An 18,979-nucleotide genomic window follows, 5' to 3' on the forward strand; every position below is an offset into this window, starting at 1 on the left:
GAAGGTTAATTTACCTTGATGTAAAATTTTTGGCTGGCACTTTTATTTCAACACTCTCTAAGTGCCATTCCATTATCTTCTGGCCAGTAAAGTTTCTGTTGAGAAGTGTGCTTTTAGTCTGATGTGGTTTTCTTTATAAATGACTAGATGCTTTTCTTTTGCTGATTTTATAATTAGTTATTTCATTTCGACTTTAGAAATTCTGGTTATCATGTGCCATGATGAAGTCTGTTTTGCAATTTATTTTACTGGTGATTGCTGAGCTTCCTGTATATGTATGTCTAATTCTATTGCTAGACTTGGAAATTTTTCATCATTTATTTTCTTAAATAGGTTTTCTAAACTTTTTCATGTTTTTTTCTTTCTAAGAAACACTGATAATTTTTATGTTTAGTCACTTTATGTAGTCAGAAACATCTCAAAGTTTTCGTTCGTTTTTTAAAATTCTTCTTAGTTTTGTCTGAGTAGATTATTTTAAAAGACCCATTTAAAGGTCTGAAAATTCTGTTTATGCCTTTTCAGTCTACTATTGGATCATTGAATGTATTTTCTTTTTCCTTCAGTAAATCTTTCAGTTCCATAATTTTGTTTTGGTTTCTTTTAAAAGATATTTATCTCCTTGGCACATTTCCCATTCATACTCTAAATTTATTTATTTATTTTTGTATTGGTTTTTAGATTTCTTTTGCATCTCTTTGAGCTTCTTTAAAATCTATATTTTGAAGCCTTCTAAAAGTCTTTTAAAGTCCTTTCAATTATTTTTTTTTTCTTGGAATACTGGAGAATTATTGTGTTCCTTTGAAAGTGTCATAAACCTTGCTTTTCTGTGTTTTCTCTGTCTTTATGTGTCTTTATATTGATTTCTGCACATCTGGAGAAACAGTTGTTTCATTTTTTTAAATTTACATTCACTGGAGGAAGCTTTTTTTTTTGTTTTTTGAAGTTATTACCATGATGTTTATCACATAGAACCATTTGGCTTTAATTTTGGATTTGTGCAGAGGGAAAGACTGGATAAGTTTCTTGAGTATAAACAAATATATACACACACACACACACACACAGAAACATGTTTCTGTGTGTGTGTGTATATATACACACACATATATATATATATATATATCACAAATTTTGGCTTAGGAGTCATCTTTTCTCTTAGGTTGATTTTTAATTCTAACTCCCAGAAAACAATTAATTTATCTTTGTTTTATTTGTCATTGAGGCCCAGCAAACCTGAAGTAAAAGGGTGAGAAGGTAGGGTGGGTGCTGGATAATGAGAAATTACTTAAGGGTTATAATGTAAATTATTTGAATGATGGATACCCTAAAAGCCCTGACTTCGCCACTATGCAGTCTATGCATGTAACTAAATTACATTTGTACACAACACTTTTGTAAAAATAAATTAAAAAGAACAACTAGAGTTTGCTATCTTGCTTATTCATACATACAAATACATCATAAATGTTTCCCATGACATTATTATTGATACAGGAGTTAAAAAGAAATTATTTAGGCAGATAGTGAGTGAGGGCAAGAAAGTCCTTCGTAAAGCTTTCCTTTTAATAAAAAGCAGCCCACAAATTATTTCTTTTTTAACAAAGAACAGCCTGTAAAATCAAGCTCCAAACATCGATAAGCAAGCTGAAAGCTTGCATGAATAAATGTCGGCAGCTGTGCCAATAGGAAAAGGGACTAACTGCGGACGGCGCATGTTTAAAATGGTGACACCCTCTTCCCATTTCCTTGTTAACCACATGTACAGTAAGAAGCAGGCAACAGGGTGCTGGCAAATGCTCCATTTGCATAATAGAAGATTAGGGTGGAGCAGCCAGATTCCTTGTGTGCTGTGTAAACTTTCTTTATTTTATTTTATTTTATTATTATACATTAACGTTTAGGGTACATGTGCACAATGTGCAGGTTAGTTACATATGTATACATGTGCCATGCTGGTGTGCTGCACCCATTAACTCGTTATTTAGCATTAGGTATATCTCCTAATGCTATCCCTTCCCCCTCCCCCAAGCCACAACAGTCCCCAGAGTTTGATGTTCCCCTTCTTGTGTCCATGTGTTCTCATTGTTCGATTTCCACCTATGAATGAGAACATGTGGTGTTTGGTTTTTTGTCCTTACGATAGTTTACTGAGAATGATGATTTCCAATTTCATCCGTGTCCCTACAAAGGACATGAACTCATCATTTTTGATGGCTGCATAGTATTCCATGGTGTATATGTGCCACATTTTCTTAATCCAGTCTATCACTGTTGGACATTTGGGCTGGTTCCAAGTCGTTGCTATTGTGAATAGTGCTGCAATAAACATACGTGTGCATGTGTCTTTATAGGAGCATGATTTATAGTCCTTTGGGTATCTACCCAGTAATGGGATGGCTGGGTCAAATGGTATTTCTAGTTCTAGATCCCTGAGGAATCGCCACACTGACTTCCACAATGGTTGAACTAGTTGACAGTCCCACCAACAGTGTAAAAGTGTTCCTATTTCTCCACATCCTCTCCAGCACCTGTTCTTTCCTGACTTTTTAATGATCGCCATTCTAACTGGTGTGAGATGGTATCTCACTGTGGTTTTGATTTGCATTTCTTTGATGGCCAGTGATGGTGAGCATTTTTTCATGTGTCTTTTGGCTGCATAAATGTCTTGTTTTGAGAAGTGTCTGTTCACATCCTTTGCCCACTTTTTGATGGGGTTGTTGTTTTCTGGTAAATTTGTTTGAGTTCATTGTAGATTCTGTATATTAGCCCTTTGTCAGATGAGTAGGTTGCGAAAATTTTCTCCCATTTTGTAGGTTGCCTGTTGACTCTGATGGTAATTTCTTTAGCTGTGCAGAAGCTCTTTAGTTTAATTAGATCCCATTTCTCAATTTTGGCTTTTATTGCCATTGCTTTTGGTGTTTTAGACATGAAGTCCTTGCCCATGCCTATGTCCTGAATGGTAATGCCTAGGTTTTCTTCTAGGGTTTTTATGGTTTTAGGTCTAACGTTTAAATTGTTAATCCATTTTCAATTAATTTTCTATAAGGTGTAAGGAAGGGATCCAGTTTCAGCTTTCTACATATGGCTAGCCAGTTTTCCCAGCACCATTTATTAAACAGGGAATCCTTTCCCCATTGCTTATTTTTCTCAGGTTTGCCAAAGATCAGATAGTTGTAGCTATGCGGCATTATTTCTGAGGGCTCTGTTCTGTTCCATTGATCTATATCTCTGTTTTGGTACCAGTACCATGCTGTTTTGGTTACTGTAGCCTTGTAGTATAGTATGAAGTCAGGTAGCATGATGCCTCCAGCTTTGTTCTTTTGGCTTAGGATTGAGTTGGCGATGTGGCCTCTTTTTTGGTTCCATGTGAACTTTAAAGTAGTTTTTTCCAATTCTCTGAAGAAAGTCATTGGTAGCTTGATGGGGTTGGCATTGAATCTATAAATTACCTTGGGCAGTATGGCCATTTTCATGATATTGATTCTTCGTATCCATGAGCATGGAATGTTCTTCCCTTTTTTGTATCCTCCTTTATTTCATTGAGCAGTGGTTTGTAGTTCTCCTTGAAGAGGTCCTTCACGTCCCTTGTAAGTTGGATTCCTAGGTATTTTATTCTCTTTGAAGCAATTGTGAATGGGAGTTCATGCATGATTTGGCTCTCTGTCTGTTGTTGGTGTATAAGAATGCTTGTGATTTTTGTACATTGATTTTGTATCCTGAGACATTGCTGAAGTTGCTTATCAGCTTAAGGAGATTTTGGGCTGAGACAATGGGGTTTTCTAGGTATACAATCATGTCATCTGCAAACAGGGACAATTTGACTTCCTCTTTTCCTAATTGAATACCCTTTATTTCCTTCTCCTGCCTAATTGCCCTGGCCAGAACTTCCAACACTATGTTGAATAGGGGTGTTGAGAGAGTGCATCCCTGTCTTGTGCCAGTTTTCAAAGGGAATGCTTCCAGTTTTTGCCCATTCAGTATGATATTGGCTGTGGGTTTGTCATAGATAGCTCTTATTATTTTGAGATACGTCACATCAATACCTAATTTATTGAGAGTTTTTAGCATGAAGTTTTGTTGAATTTTGTCAAAGGCCTTTTCTGCAGCTATTGAGATAATCATGTGGTTTTTGTCTTTGGTTCTGTTTATATGCTGGATTACATTTATTGATTTGTGTATATTGAGCCAGCCTTGCATCCCAGGGATGAAGCCCACTTGATCATGGTGGATAAGCTTTTTGATGCGCTGCTGGATTCGGTTTGCCAGTATTTTATTGAGGATTTTTGCATTGATGTTCATCAAGAATATTTGTCTAAAATTCTCTTTTTTGGTTGTGTCTCTGCCCGGCTTTGGTATCAGGATGATGCTGGCCTCATAAAATGAGTTAGGGAGGATTCCCTCTTTTTCTATTGATTGGAATAGTTTCAGAAGGAATGGTACCAGTTCTTCCTTGTACCTCTGGTAGAATTCGGCTGTGAATCCATGTGGTCCTGGACTCTTTTTGTTGGTAAGCTGTTGATTATTGCCACAATTTCGGAGCCTGTTATTGGTCTATCCAGAGATTCAACTTCTTCCTGGTTTAGTCTTGGGAGGGTGTATGTGTCGAGGAATTTATCCATTTCTTCTAGATTTTCTTCTACATTTATCCATTTCTTCTAGATTTCTAGTTTATTTGCATAGAGGTGTTTTTAGTATTCTCTGATGGTAGTTTGTATTTCTGTGGAATCGGTGTTGATATCCCCTTTATCATTTTTTATTGCATCTGTTTGATTCTTCTCTCTTTTCTTTATTAGTCTTGCTAGCGGTCTATCAATTTTGTTGATGCTTTCAAAAAACCAGCTCCTGGATTCTTTAATTTTTCTGAAGGGTTTCTTGTGTCTCTATTTCCTTCAGTTCTGCTCTGATTTTAGTTATTTCTTGCCTTCTGCTAGCTTTTGAATGTGTTTGCTCTTGCTTTTCTAGTTCTTTCAATTGTGATATTAGGCCGTCAATTTTTGTTATTTCTTGCTTTCTCTTGTGGGCATTTAGTGATATAAATTTCCCTCTACACACTGCTTTGAATGTGTCCCAGAGATTCTGGTATGTTGTGTCTTTGTTCTCGTTGGTTTCAAAGAACTTCTTTATTTCTGCCTTCATTTCGTTATGTCCCCAGTAGTCATTCAGGAGCAGGTTGTTCGGTTTCCATGTAGTTGAGTGGTTTTGAGTGAGTTTCTTGATCCTGAGTTCTAGTTTGATTGCACTGTGGTCTGAGAGACAGTTTGTTATAATTTCTGTTCTTTTACATTTGCTGAGGAGAGCTTTACTTCCAACTATGTGGCCAATTTTGGGATAGGTGTGGTGTGGTGCTGAAAAAAATGTATATTCTGTTGATTTGGGGTGGAGAGTTCCGTAGATGTCTATTAGATCCACTTGGTGCAGAGCTGAGTTCAATTCCTGGGTATCCTTGTTAACTTTCTGTCTCGTTGATCTGTCTAATGTTGACAATGGGGTGTTAACGTCTCCCATTATTATAGTGTGGGAGTCAAAGTCTCTTTGTAGGTCTCTCTGGACTTGTTTTATGAGTCTGGGTGCTCCTGTATTGGGTGCATATATATTTAGGATAGTTAGCTCTTCTTGTTGAATTGATCCCTTTAACATTATGTAATGGCCTTCTTTGTCTCTTTTGTTCTTTGTTGGTTTAAAGTCTGTTTTATCAGAGACTAGGATTGCAACCCCTGCCTTTTTTTGTTTTCCATTTGCTTGGTAGATCTTCCTCCATCCTTTTATTTTGAGCCTATGTGTGTCTCTGCACATGAGATGGGTTTCCTGAATACAGCACACTGATGGGTCTTGACTCTTTATCCAATTTGCCAGTCTCTGTCTTTTAATTGGAGCATTTAGTCCGTTTACATTTAAAATTAATATTTTTATGTGTGAATTTGATCCTGTCATTATGATGTTAGCTGGTTATTTTGCTCGTTAGTTGATGCAGTGTCTTTGTAGCTTCGACAGTCTTTACAATTTGGTGTGATTTTGCAGTGGCTGATACCGGTTTTTCCTTTCCATGTTTAGTGCTTCCTTCAGGAGCTCTTTTAGGGCAGGCCTGGTGGTGACAAAATCTCTCAGCATTTGCTTGTCTGTAAAGTGTTTTATTTCTCCTTCACTTATGAAGCTTAGTTTGGGTGGATATGAAATTCTGGGTTGAAAATTCTTTTCTTTAAGAATGTTGAATATTGGCTCCCACTCTCTTCTGGCTTGTAGAGTTTCTGCTGACAGGTCCGCTGTTAGTCTGATGGGCTTCCCTTTGTGGCTAATCTGACCTTTCTCTCTGGCTGTCCTTAACATTTTTTCCTTCATTTCAATTTTGGTGAATCTGACAATTATGTGTCTTGGAGTTGCTCTTTTTGAGGAGTATCTTTGTGGCGTTCTCTGTATTTCCTGAATCTGAATGTTGGCCTGCCTTACTTGATTGGGGAAGTTCTCCTGGATAATATCCTGCAGAGTGTTTTCCAACTTGGTTCCATTCTCCCCGTCACTTTCAGGTACACCAATCAGACGTAGATTTGGCCTTTTCACATAGTCCCATATTTCTTGGAGGCTTTTTTCATTTCTTTTTATTCTTTTTTCTCTAAACTTCCCTTCTCGCTTCATTTCATTCATTTCATCTTCCATCACTGATACCCTTTCTTCCAGTTGATTGCATTGGTTCCTGAGGCTTCTGCATTCTTCACGTAGTTCTGGAGCCTTGGCTTTCAGCTGCATCAGCTCCTTTAAGCAGTTCTCTGTATTGGTTATTCTAGTTGTACATTCGTCTAAATTTTTTTCAAAGTTTTTAACTTCTTTGCCTTTGGTTTGAATTTCCTCCTGTAGCTGAGAGTAGTTTGATCATCTGAAGCCTTCTTCTCTCAACTCCTGAAAGTCATTCTCTGTCCAGCTTTGTTTCATTGCTGGTGAGGAACTGCGTTCCTTTGGAGGAGGAGAGGCCCTCTGCTTTTTAGAGTTTCCAGTTTTTCTGCTCTGTTTTTTCTGCATCTTTGTGGTTTTATCTTCTTTTGGTCTTTGATGATGGTGTTGTACATATGGGTTTTTGGTGTGTATGTCCTTTCTGCTTGTTAGTTTTCCTTCTAACAGGCAGGACCCTCAGCTGCAGATCTGTTGGAGTTTTCTAGAGGTTCACTCCAGACCCTTTTTGCCTGGGTATCAGCAGCGATGGCTGCAGAACAGCTGATTTTTGTGAACCGCGAATGCTACTGTCTGATCGTTCTTCTGGAAATTTTGTCTCAGAGGAGTACCCGGCTGTGTGAGGTGTCAGTCTGCCCCTACTGGGGGGTGCCTCCCAGTTAGGCTGCTTGGGGTTCAGGGGTCAGGAACCCACTTGAGGAGGCAGTCTGCCTGTTCTCAGATCTCCAGCTGTGTGCTGGGAGAACCACTGCTCTCTTCAAAGCTGTCAGACAGGGATATTTAAGTCTGCAGAAGTTACTGCTGTCTTTTTGTTTGTCTGTGCCCTGCCCCTAGAGGTGGAGTCTACAGAGGCAGGCAGGCCTCCTTGAGCTTTGGTGGGCTCCACCCAGTTGGAGCTTCCCATCTGCTTTGTTTACCTAAGCAAGCCTGGGCAATGGCAGGCGCCCCTCCCCCAGCCTCGCTGCCACCTTGCAGTTTGATCTCAGACTGCTGTGCTAGCAATCAGCGAGGCTCCATGGGCGTAGGACCCTCCGAGCCAGGTGCAGGATATAATCTGCTGGTGTGACATTTTTAAGCCTGTTGGAAAAGCACAGTATTAGAGTGGGAGTGACCCGACTTTCCAGGTGCCATCTGTCACCCCTTTCTTTGACTTGGAAAGGGAAGTCCCTGACCCCTTGTGCTTCCTGAGTGAGGCAATGCCTCACCCTGCTTCAGCTCGCACATGGTGTGCTGAACCCACTGTCCTGCGCCCACTGTCTGGCACTCTCTAGTGAGGTGAACTCAGTACCTCAGATGGAAATGCAGAAATCACCTGTCTTCTGCGTCACTCATGCTGGGAGCTGTAGTCCAGAGCTCTTCCTATTTGGCCTTCTCAGCTGCCCGCCTCAGCTGTGTAAACTTTCAAACCTGATCCAACCAATGTTTGGGCCCTATGTAAACCAGCCACCTGCTCCTGAAGCCAGTGTGTAAAATCCATTGCGCTTCACTGCAGGCTGGAAGTCCCACTGAGAGGCACTGCTCTTTCTCAGAAGAGAAGACTATTCTCCTTTCTCTTTCTTTTGCCTATTAAACCACTGCTCCTAAACCATCTTCTTGTGTGTCCATGCACTGATTTCCTTGGCATTAGATGACGAACCTCGGGTCTTTACCCCACACAGGTGATGCCACTTCAGTATGTTAAAACTCATTAATTTATTAGTTAAAATTGCTTTATTAATAAATATAGCACTTTTTTTTTTTGAGACGGAGTCTCACTCTGTCACCCAGGCTGGAGTGCAGTGACGTGATCTCAGCTTACTGCAACCTCCACCTCCCTGGTTCAAGCGATTCTACTGTCTCGGCCTCCTGAGTAGCTGGGAGTACAGGCGTGTGCCGCCACGTCCGGCTAATGTTTTCTATTTTTAGTAGAGACAGGGTTTCATCGTGTTAGCCAGGATGGTCTTGATCTCCTGACCTTGTAATCCACCTGACTTGACCTCCCAAAGTGCTGGGATTGCAGGCGGGAGACACCACGCATGGCAAAATATAGCACATTTTAAAGACCACTGATGCACAGTGCAAAAACTGCCATATATGAATATGACATCAAATTATACTTCCAGTAACAGTGTTAGGAAAGGTCTTGTTACCCTACACTAACTATTTATGAATAGTTTAATGGAATATGCTGTTTTAAAAAATATTTTCCATTTTGGTATGTGAAAAAATGGCATCTCATTATTTATTTATTTATTTATTTATTTATTTATTTATTTATTTATTTTTGAGATAGAGTCTCGCTCTGTTGGCCAGGCTGGAGTGCAGTGGCATGATCTTGGCTCACTGAAACCTCTGTCTCCCGGGCTCAAGCAATTCTCCTGTCTCAGCATCCCTAGTAGCTGTGATTATAGGTGTGTGCCACCACGCCTGGCCAATTTTTGTATTTCTAGTAGAGACAGGTTTACATCATTTTGGCCAGGGTAGTCTCAAATTCCTGACCTTGGCCTCCCAAAGTACTGGGATTACAGGTATGAGCCACCGCGCTTGGTGACATCTCATTATTTTAATATGAATTTTAGTAACTATTAGGTAACTTGTTTTTATATATGTTTAGTGTACTACTTTTTGAATTGCCTAGTCATGGCTTCTGCTTATTTTGCTATTAAATTATTTAACTTTTTACTGATTTATATAAGCTTTTGCTATCCACATTATAGTAATAAGTTGTCTAAAATTATTTTACATGTATCTTCATTCAGCTCCCAGAGTCCATCTTCAATGCTTTTGATAGAAAAGGAGTTCCTCCCTTCTAAAGATGTCTACTCTTAGTTTAAATATGTACCAATTAGTAATACACAATTAGGGAAGTTTAAACACTGTCTAATTAAATTTGATTTGGGGAAAATAAATGTTCTCACCTTTCCATTTTTATTTAACCATGTGTAAGAAGGCAGCCTATACATTCTGGGGTAAAAAGTCTCTTTTTAAAAAGAGAAAATGTATTCTATCAAAGAGGGTACCAAATTCCAAGTTTGCACTGCACTTTGCTGAACACCTTGTATTTTTTCAAGCTTAAACTTTCTAAAAGGTTAGCAGTATTCTCTGTGAAACACAGAGCTGCTCACATTGCAGCCCTGCTCCAAAACATTTGGTGGTTCATAACAGCCTGCAAAGCTGAGCCCCCATCCATGTTTCTAAGGCCAACATCTCTTAACATCCCAAATCTATACGACACTCCCAAAGTATATTCTTTTGTCAAACTCCACTTCTTGTCCTACCCTGTCCTTAAATAAGCCTCATATTTTTATACTTCATGTCCTGTACTTAAACTGCTTTTTTGCCTAGATGTACATTTTTCTTTTCCCACATTCTTCTTCTCCACATGGAAAACGTGCACATTTGTGAGTATCACCTTTACTCTCTACTGCAACTTCTCACTTGCCAGTTCTCCACTTGTTCTTGCTGGTTGTAAGGCACTGATGAATTTTAGAACTGGAACCATATTATATCCATCTTTGCAGTTCTAGAGCCTGGTATCAGGTGTAGGTGTCAAGAAATGGTTCCCAATGGAAGCTTGCTGATAGTGATCTTCAACAGATGAGACAAGAAAGGAGCCAGAATGCTGATTTACTAATCCAGATTACTTTCCACTATTGTTTTGCTGAAACTCTCCAATGTCATGAGAAAAATAACAATGATAATAATAATACTAGTAGCAAATACAGAAGATAAGTCAGTTAAAATTGAGCTGGTAGCATGCATAACTTCAATTCTGTATTTATTACTGGTTTCAAAATATTCCTTATCCACAAATTGGAAGAAACAGGAAACAGACCCTCAAGTGTCTTTCACAATGCAAGACCTGCCAATTTCATAACTTGCTCAGCCACCCTCATAAAAGAAACTAGGCACACTGGTGACCCCATCTCACACACACTCAAAGGAGACAGAAGGTCTTCCTCTCACTGTCCTCCAGTACATGTGGCTCCTCCTTCTTAAAAAGCAAAACAACAAAGAAATAATACCTCCCAGAGGGTATGACACTTGAACTTGGACAAGTGTTTTTTTTTTTGTTGTTTTTTTTTAAGATGGAATCTCGCTCTGTTGCCCAGGCTGGAGTGCAGTGGTGGGATCTTGGCTCACTGCAAGGTTCGCCCACGCCAATTCTCCTGCCTTAGCCTCCCGAGTAGCTGGGACTACAGGCGCCTGCCATAACGCCTGGCTAATTTTTTAGTATTTTTAGTAGAGACCAGGTTTCACCGTGTTAGCCAGGATGGTCTCGATCTCCTGACCTCGTGATCCACCTGCCTCAGCCTCCCAAAGTGCTGGGATTACAGACGTGAGCCACTGTGCCCGGCCTGATCTTCAAGTTTTTAGATTCGATTAGTAATCAAGTCAATTCAATTTTTGCCCTTACTTGGCTCATATCACATATTATGGACCTCTTAGGATCACTCTATGCAAATTCTGAGGCAAAACCTTGAGTTTCCATATTATGTAAAATAACAGTAACCTGTTATGAAACAACAGTAGAGCTGTTCTTAAGGCATTGACCCTGCCCAAAGCACAACTTAATTTCCCAAACAGTTATGAGTTTAGTTTCAAAATCTCTTCAAAAATAGGCTTCATATGAGTCTTTGAACAGGGCTCAGCACTTTCAGTGAGGTTAAAAGTGGGTGTCCACAAGGAAGGTTTCAAGAGATAAGAAAGCCCCCCATTAATCACCACACAGAGGACTAGCAGAATCATAGAGTCCATGCCCACCCTTTTTCACTTCTAGAATATCTCCCACCATGTGAAAAACCACCTCTCTTCCACATGCTATCCTTTTCAATGAGAACATGGTAAACATTTCATCCTCAGCAGGATTTGTTCAGGGTTTCACTCTACTTTCCCACTGGGTCTCAGTCTGCCAGCTTTCTGCTTTAGTGTCTTTTTGAACTCCCCCTCTTTAAGGGCACAGAAATCCTCATCAGTCAGTTCATCTACTAATATGACCTCTGCAAGCCCCTCACTCTACAAAACACCATTCCTGACCATCACAGAAGGGAAGGTCTAACTTATGTGGTCAAATATTAGCTAAAATGTGTTGTTCAATAGGTAAGCTGTAATTTAATTCTGGAAACCAGACCCCTGTCCTGGCACACTTACACTTTTTCCTTGGTGTGCCAATCTTTTCCCTTGATGTGCCTAATAGGGAGGACTCTGAACACAGGAGGTTTTCAGTTAGTATTTGTTTGGTGAATGGATCATGTCTCTATGGTAGGTAGTCTGGCATGGGTCAGGAGCACAGCCCTGGAGACAAACTTAATAGTTTGAGTTCTAATAGCTGGCTGCCTCTCTGGGTCTTTATATCCTCATCTGAATCCTGAGGATAATAATTACATCTACACCTCTCTGTCGAAGAATTGTGATGAATGAAAAAGATGATGCATAAAGAAAAATTAGGATGCTGGTAGCTAGCTCTCAGTAATTGTTAGATCTGATGACATTTGCTCCTACTGCTATCAAGCTGAGTGTGTTTCTATGTATAAAAGCTAACAACCAACAAGCTGAGTGTGTTTCTATGTATAAAAACTAACAACCAACAAAGGGTGAAAATTAAAGTAAAACTTGATTGTTAACTTGTCAGACTGGAGTCCTATGGATTAACAGGTCTAGCACAGGTAGAAGAGAAAGAAATACTTAACTTCTGGTTTATTTGATTTAATGCAAATACAGGAAAACCTGGATAAGAAATGCTTTTCACCAAAGTTTGTCTGCAACTTGAATGCTGTAGGTTAAACTAATTTAAAAGTACTCTAGACAGATTCATTTGTAATATAAGCATGTCATAGTTTCTGGTGTTTAGGACTGGATTTATGTTTATTTAGTTTTCTGAAGAGACACAAGAGACAGCCCAAGCTGCTATCGGAATTCCTAGAGACAAGTTGGGCAAATGAGCCCTTACAAAATTCCATTTATGGTAAAGATAATAATGAAATAAATAATTACTGAGACCAGCTCCATCAGCGAGACCCTAACCCAGCAGTGCTAGAGGAATTAAAGACACACTCACAGAAGGTGTGAAGTGGGAAATCGGGGTCTCACAGCCTTCAGAGCTGAGAGCCTCGAACAGAGATTTACCCACATATTTATTAACAGCAAGCCAATCATTAGCATTGTTTCTATAGATATTAGATTAACTAAAAGTATCCCTTATGAGAAATGAAGGGATGGGTCAAAATAAAGAGATGGGTTGGGCTACGTATCTGCAGCAGGAGCATGTCCTTAAGGCACAGATTGCTCATGCTGTTGTTTGTGGGTTTTTTTTTTAAGAGACAGAAAAATTTTATTAATGAGTATGCATACAAATAAACCTAGACAACCATGAAGAGTCCCTCACAGTTTCATGTATTCACAATATTATTTCATCTCTAAAGCCATCAGTGAACGACTAGTTCTGCTACTTGTTAAAGTTGTGCAAAAATTCTCAATTTAAACATACAGTCTTAATTATACCAGTGTTCTAATGTCCCAAGACTGATTGTAGGTAATGGAATCTCAACAATATCTTAAATAATAATTTAAAAAACTCAATATGATCTACAAGACTAATATATTTAAAGGAAAATAATTCACATTCACTAAATTCCTCCCCTTTCTTCCTTCTTCCCTATTCTCCCTTTCACTTGCCAATTTTTTTCTACAGTATATGATGATGGCCAAATTACCCAATATCAACTGTTTCAAAAAAGAAATGTTATTTTAGAAGATACCATACAGCAAGAGACTTATAGGTGTAACACCACTGAAATTATTTACTAAGCCCTGGCCGGGCATGGTGGCTTACACCTGCAATTCCAATACTTTGGGAGGTTGAGCAGGCAGATCACTTGAGGTCAGGAGTTCAAGACCACCCTGGGCAACATGGTGGAACCCTGTCTCTACTAAAAATACAAAAATTAAGTGGACATGGTGGCTATCCCAGCTACTCAGGAGGCTGAGGCAGGAGAACTGCTTGAGCCCGGGAGGCGGAGGTTGCAGTGAGCCAAGATTGTGCCACTACATTCTAGCCTGGATGACAGAACCAGACTCTGTCTCAAAAGAAAAAAAAATTATTTACCAAGCTGTGTTTTCATAGTGTTTTTTAATTCTCTGAACTGCTTCAGTATCTGCAGTGTTTTTTTTACATTTCAAAGACTTCCCACATGTAACATTTCATTGGAATTACCACTTTACATCATAGTTGATATGGAAATTATTACATCTAACAGATGAAGAAAATGTAGACATAAAGAACCATTCGCTCTAATGTCATCCAGTGTAACTGCTAAGAGTTAGGATTAGACTCAAGTCCTATTCCTAATCCTGTATACTACCCTAAACTCCTAAGCCCCCATACATTGTACTTCACAGAATGCTACTAGTGACTGTGCTCATGCATTCAAACAAGTTTTGGAAATGTTGTGTTAAGCAAAGCTAACCAGATTCCCAGAGTCTTTATTATGCATCATAAATCCCCAGGAAAGATCCAGAGTATAGAGCAGGTGCCATAAAGTTAAAAGTCCCACAAGTTTCAAGCAGGTAACAAAGGTGAGCATGCAAGGGAAAGTAAGGACTTGGGGATTAGAGGATGCATCCCCATCTAGTGGAAGCCTGGTCACATAGCAATCCAGCCCAATCTTGCTGGGTCTTTCCAGAGAAGCTATAAATCTTGGCTTTAATTTCAAATCTCCAGTTTTGTGCGTATTGCCTCAAATTTAAGAAAAAAAGGCACTATAGTTTAAAACAAATAAAATTTTTGACCAGATCGGGCCAGCCACATTTGGGAAAACTGAAATACCATGTATCATAATCTCATTTGCCCACAGAATTTTCCTTCAAAGGACTTATACATTTCCTAGAATGATAACGGTGTTAAAAAATGTTGCCTCTGGCTGGGCGCAGTGGCTCATGCCTGTAATCCCAACACTTTTGGGAGGTCAAGGCAGGTGGCTTTCCTGAGGTCAGGAGTTGGAGACCAGCCTGGCCAACATGGTGAAACCCCATCTCCACTAAAAATAAAAAATAAGCTGGGTGTGGTGGTGGGCATCTGTAATCCCAGCTACTCAGGAGGCTGAGGCAGGAGAATCACTTGAACCCGGGAGGCGGAGGTTGCAGTGAGCCAAGATTGTGCCATTGCATTTCAGCCTGACAAGAGCAAAACTACATCTCAAAAAAACAGAAATGAAAACAAACGTTTTCCTCTGAAAGCAAGCATCCTGTTACCCCAGACAACTATGGTATGGGTAGCTCTGAACCTCAACCATGAATTATTTCAGAGTTTTTTCAAACTGAAATTGAAATTAATGCCCAGCCTTAACTGTTCATGTAGAAATATTTCTTTTCTGACAAATCTAGCTCTTGCAAATCTATGCTTAGTAGAGACGGGGTTTCTCCATGTTGGTCAGGCTGTTCTCAAACTCCTGACCTCTAGTGATCCACCCGCCTCAGCCTTCCAAAGTGCTGGGATTAGAGCATAAGCCACCATGCCTGGCTGGCAAATATATACTTCTAAACAATTATGCTGCTTTAGTATAATTGTTTTTTATATATTTTTGTACTGATTAAAGATATCCTTACAATAAGTCTAATTGAATTATAAAAAAAAAATTACAGGAATTGACTAGATATGAGAAGGACACTTTGCCTTTCCAAAACAATTTTATCTTTCTTTTTTTTTCTTAAAATTTTTTCTTAATAGAGATGGGGTCTTGCCAAGTTGCCCAGGCTGGTCTGAAATTTCTGGGCTCAAGCTATCTGCACACCTTGTCTTCCCAAAGTGCTGGGATTACAGGCATGAGTCATGGCACTAGCCTCCAAATCAATTTTAAACATAAAAGTGGTTTGGAGACGATTTAGAATTTGGGTCAAAACTAGTGAGTTTCAAACACTTATATCTGCAATGTAACTTATAAGTCAGAAAAGGCAGCCTTTTCCCTACCGCAGCCTTTTTTTTTCTCTCTTTTATTTCTGACCTTCTTGGTTCTAAAAATTTGTTCAGAAATCCTGATGGTTGTTTAAATGCTTAGCACCATGACACACATGTAATACAAATTGCATAAATGGACGGGGCGTGGTGGCTCATGCCTGTGATCCCAGTACCCTGGAAGGCCAAGGCAACTGGATCACCTGAGGTCAGGAGTTCGAGATCATTCTGTCCAACATGGTGAAACCCTGTATCTACCAAAAAAATACAAAAAATTAGCTGAGCATAGTGGCAGACACCTGTAATCCCAGCTCGTGAGGCTGAGGCAGGAGAATCGCTTGAACCCGGGAGGTGGAGGTTACAGTGAGATGAGATTTCACCATTGCAATCCAGCCTGGGCAACAAGAGCAAAGCTCCATCTCAAAAAAAAAAATAATGTATAAATATGTTGAATCACCTGGCAAATGATTTTCTTCCCCTGGTGTCTATGTGTTCCATACTATTGTAGCCTCTTTTAACTGGTAAAATAACTACCCCAATTCAGAGATCCAGTACTTAATGCATCACATTTCCAGAGTCGTGAGAAAACAGCTAAACCTGTTAGAGTGAATTATACTCACTTTGTTTCCCCATAGAGGAAATAAAACCCACGATTAGAAACCTTTGGAAAACATAGGAAATGCAACATTTGGAAGTATATAGAAACAAGAGATAATCATGCAATGCTTCCAAATGAAGTCTCACATTGGATTTGCTGATTTTGGAGACAGATTCCCCTCTTCTGGACAGCTTTGATGGCCAAGATAGAAGTTCATTTGCTATGTTTCCAGGGACTATTCTCTTTGATGGATACAGGATTTATGGGGTCTAAAGAGAACATACAATTCTAAAGTGTTCATGTTTGAGAGAAAACTCTGCAATGATCAGAAGGATTGAGCCAGTTTTAGCAAAACAAATTAGGACTACATTAATGATGAGGTTGACTATACACAGTTTGGAGTGGGAGAGTTACTCTACCCAGTATCACTGACATGTTGGAATGCCAGATGAAACTGAAACAGAAAAATTGTCTTGGAGTCTAAAAGACATCTGATGTGCTGATACCTGTTCAGTCTTCTGCAGTCATGGGCGTAAACTCTCAAAGAGCACCACTGGGTCTTAGTCCGTGGCATAAACATTATTCTCAATGTAGATATTGTCTTCTGCTTGGACTTCCTTTTTAACTGCATTTTGCAAAGCTTTAGTTTGAAGACTGCTAAATGAAACACTTAGTTGTTGAGTCTCCTCTTTGAAGAAATACTTTTTGGCAATGATGACACCCAAAAGAGCAAGAAGCACCAAGACAGAAATACAGACTCCAGCACAGATTCCTTTAGTGGTGTTGACCATCTGTGGACTATATGCTGGGGACAGTTGAGTTTGATTGTTATTCCAAAGGCCATCTGAAGACTCTGTCATGGTGTCATTCCCATCTGTTGTGAAAGAGTGCAATGGTGAGCTGGTGGGTTGTGTCCTTATTTCTCCCTGAAGTGTCATAGGGTGGGTTTCTGCTGGCTGAGGTGAAGATGGTGAAGTGGCTACTGATTGATGGTTCTGCGTGGGCAATGGCGTTGGAGGAACAAAGGTAGAGACCATTGTTGTCATTGGAACACTTGTTTTCATTGAAATGCTCGTTGTTGTTGGAACAGTCTTTGTCGTTGGAACAGTTGTTGTCGTTGGAACGCTTGTTGTCATTGGAACAGTGATGCTCGTTCAAACAGTAGTGGCGGTTGGAACAGTTGTGACAATTGGTGTAGTCGTGACCCTGGGTGGCACAATCTCCAATGATAGAGTGATTTTCATGTCATTGAACCACCCACTGTGCTCAACATGGCAACAATATAAGCCACTGTCAGACACAGCTGTATTTTCTATAGTCAAAGGGACATCCCTTCTTGAAAGGTCCCCCAATACCTTATAGTGTGTGTCCTTCCGATAGGTGACGTGGGTTCCATTGGTCCAGACAATGCTATTTCAGCATGTGAATAAAGAACGTGCGCCTCTATTCCAGCACATGGATGTGACAGCTCCATTGTAGTGGCAGGGTAGCGTGATAGACGGACCTGCCATTCCACCAACCTTTACAGAACCAGCTACAGAATCTGCCAGATGTAGGATGAGGCTTAAGATGGCCACTTCAGGATACATTATGGGATCAGCCAGTTAGTTAGAAGGCAGTTTTCCAGCTTCTTCTCCCTCCTCCTAGTCTCTGTTTGTGGACGGCTTTAAATGGTTTTCCACCCTGGGTGGGCCAGGTGTTCCTTGCCCTCATTCTGGTAAATGCACAACCTCCCAGCATGGGCATTATGGCCATCATGTACATGTCACAGTGCTGCAAAGATTTTGTTTATGGCCAGTTTTGGGGCCAGTTTATGGCCAGATTTTGGGAGGCCTGTTCCCAACAAATAATAATCTCTGAACATAAGAATTTGACTAGTGTTAATCACTCCACTTCTCCAGTACACTGATACTTCTCCCTTTTTCTTAGCATAACACAAAACAGATACATGACTACACACCATCTGCTCTCCAGTGCGGAACAGAGGAACAAAGGCATAAGCAAGCTTCAGAACACAGTCAGCCATGTTCACCACATCTATATCTAGCACTGCTTAAAACAAAGTCAATGAGAAACTGAGAAGATGAGTGACTACCCTATTTTCAGCACTTATTGTCACAAGAAAAGAAAACATGCCCACACACTGTCTCCTTCTAAGGCACAGCATCCACTTTCCTGAGGAAAAAGTAACTTTACAGCATATATCTCAATCTCACATTATTAGCAAGATGACACTGGCTTTGAGCACACAAAGAACAGGCATATTATAGACACTCTTAAGACACATCACATGGCCTGGCTTACCTGATACAATTTTTAATTTCTCTGAAGTAAACTCAAATTTCAAACATGTATTTCTTTATTAACTTATTTCATTAATTTCCACAGGGACTTCACAGAAAGTATATTCAACTTTCATTCACTTAATCTTACCACAATAGATGGTGTAACATATCCAGAAGACAGCCATATGTAAGACATGCTCATACCCCAAAGCATAGAAAACTTAACACAACAGGGCCTTGAGGAAGCAACACTATAACAGTGCAAATATACAAATATTTAAGAAAACCTACATCACCCAACAAAGAGCATGTATGGTCACCACTACCCAGCACTCTCCAAAATAAGTAGCTATGAATAGCTTATTCAAATTTGGCTTATATATACTTGTCACCACAAATTGGTTCTGAACATACTGTTCCAATTTTGGATATTCACAACAAGGGTAATTATCTGGTAAGATATATTTATAATAACTTGTAATTAGATTCCTAAATGCACACATATAC

The 18,979-nt window shown here is 39.7% G+C and overlaps 1 long non-coding RNA gene and 1 pseudogene across 2 annotated transcripts; one reads left to right on the forward strand and one right to left on the reverse strand.

The window, feature by feature from the left end:
• Positions 1-816: 816 nt before the first annotated feature.
• Positions 817-1,423, forward strand: LINC03085 (long intergenic non-protein coding RNA 3085). Its single transcript, NR_186350.1, has one exon. It is a non-coding gene; the product is annotated as a long intergenic non-protein coding RNA 3085 (long non-coding RNA).
• Positions 1,424-16,534: 15,111 nt separating this feature from the next.
• Positions 16,535-17,789, reverse strand: HAVCR1P1 (hepatitis A virus cellular receptor 1 pseudogene 1; annotated as a pseudogene). The gene has a single exon (NR_003603.1). The product of NR_003603.1 is annotated as a hepatitis A virus cellular receptor 1 pseudogene 1 (transcript).
• Positions 17,790-18,979: the final 1,190 nt, after the last annotated feature.

Source organism: Homo sapiens, chromosome 19, assembly GCF_000001405.40.
Source record: "Homo sapiens chromosome 19, GRCh38.p14 Primary Assembly".
NCBI lineage: Eukaryota > Metazoa > Chordata > Mammalia > Primates > Hominidae > Homo > Homo sapiens.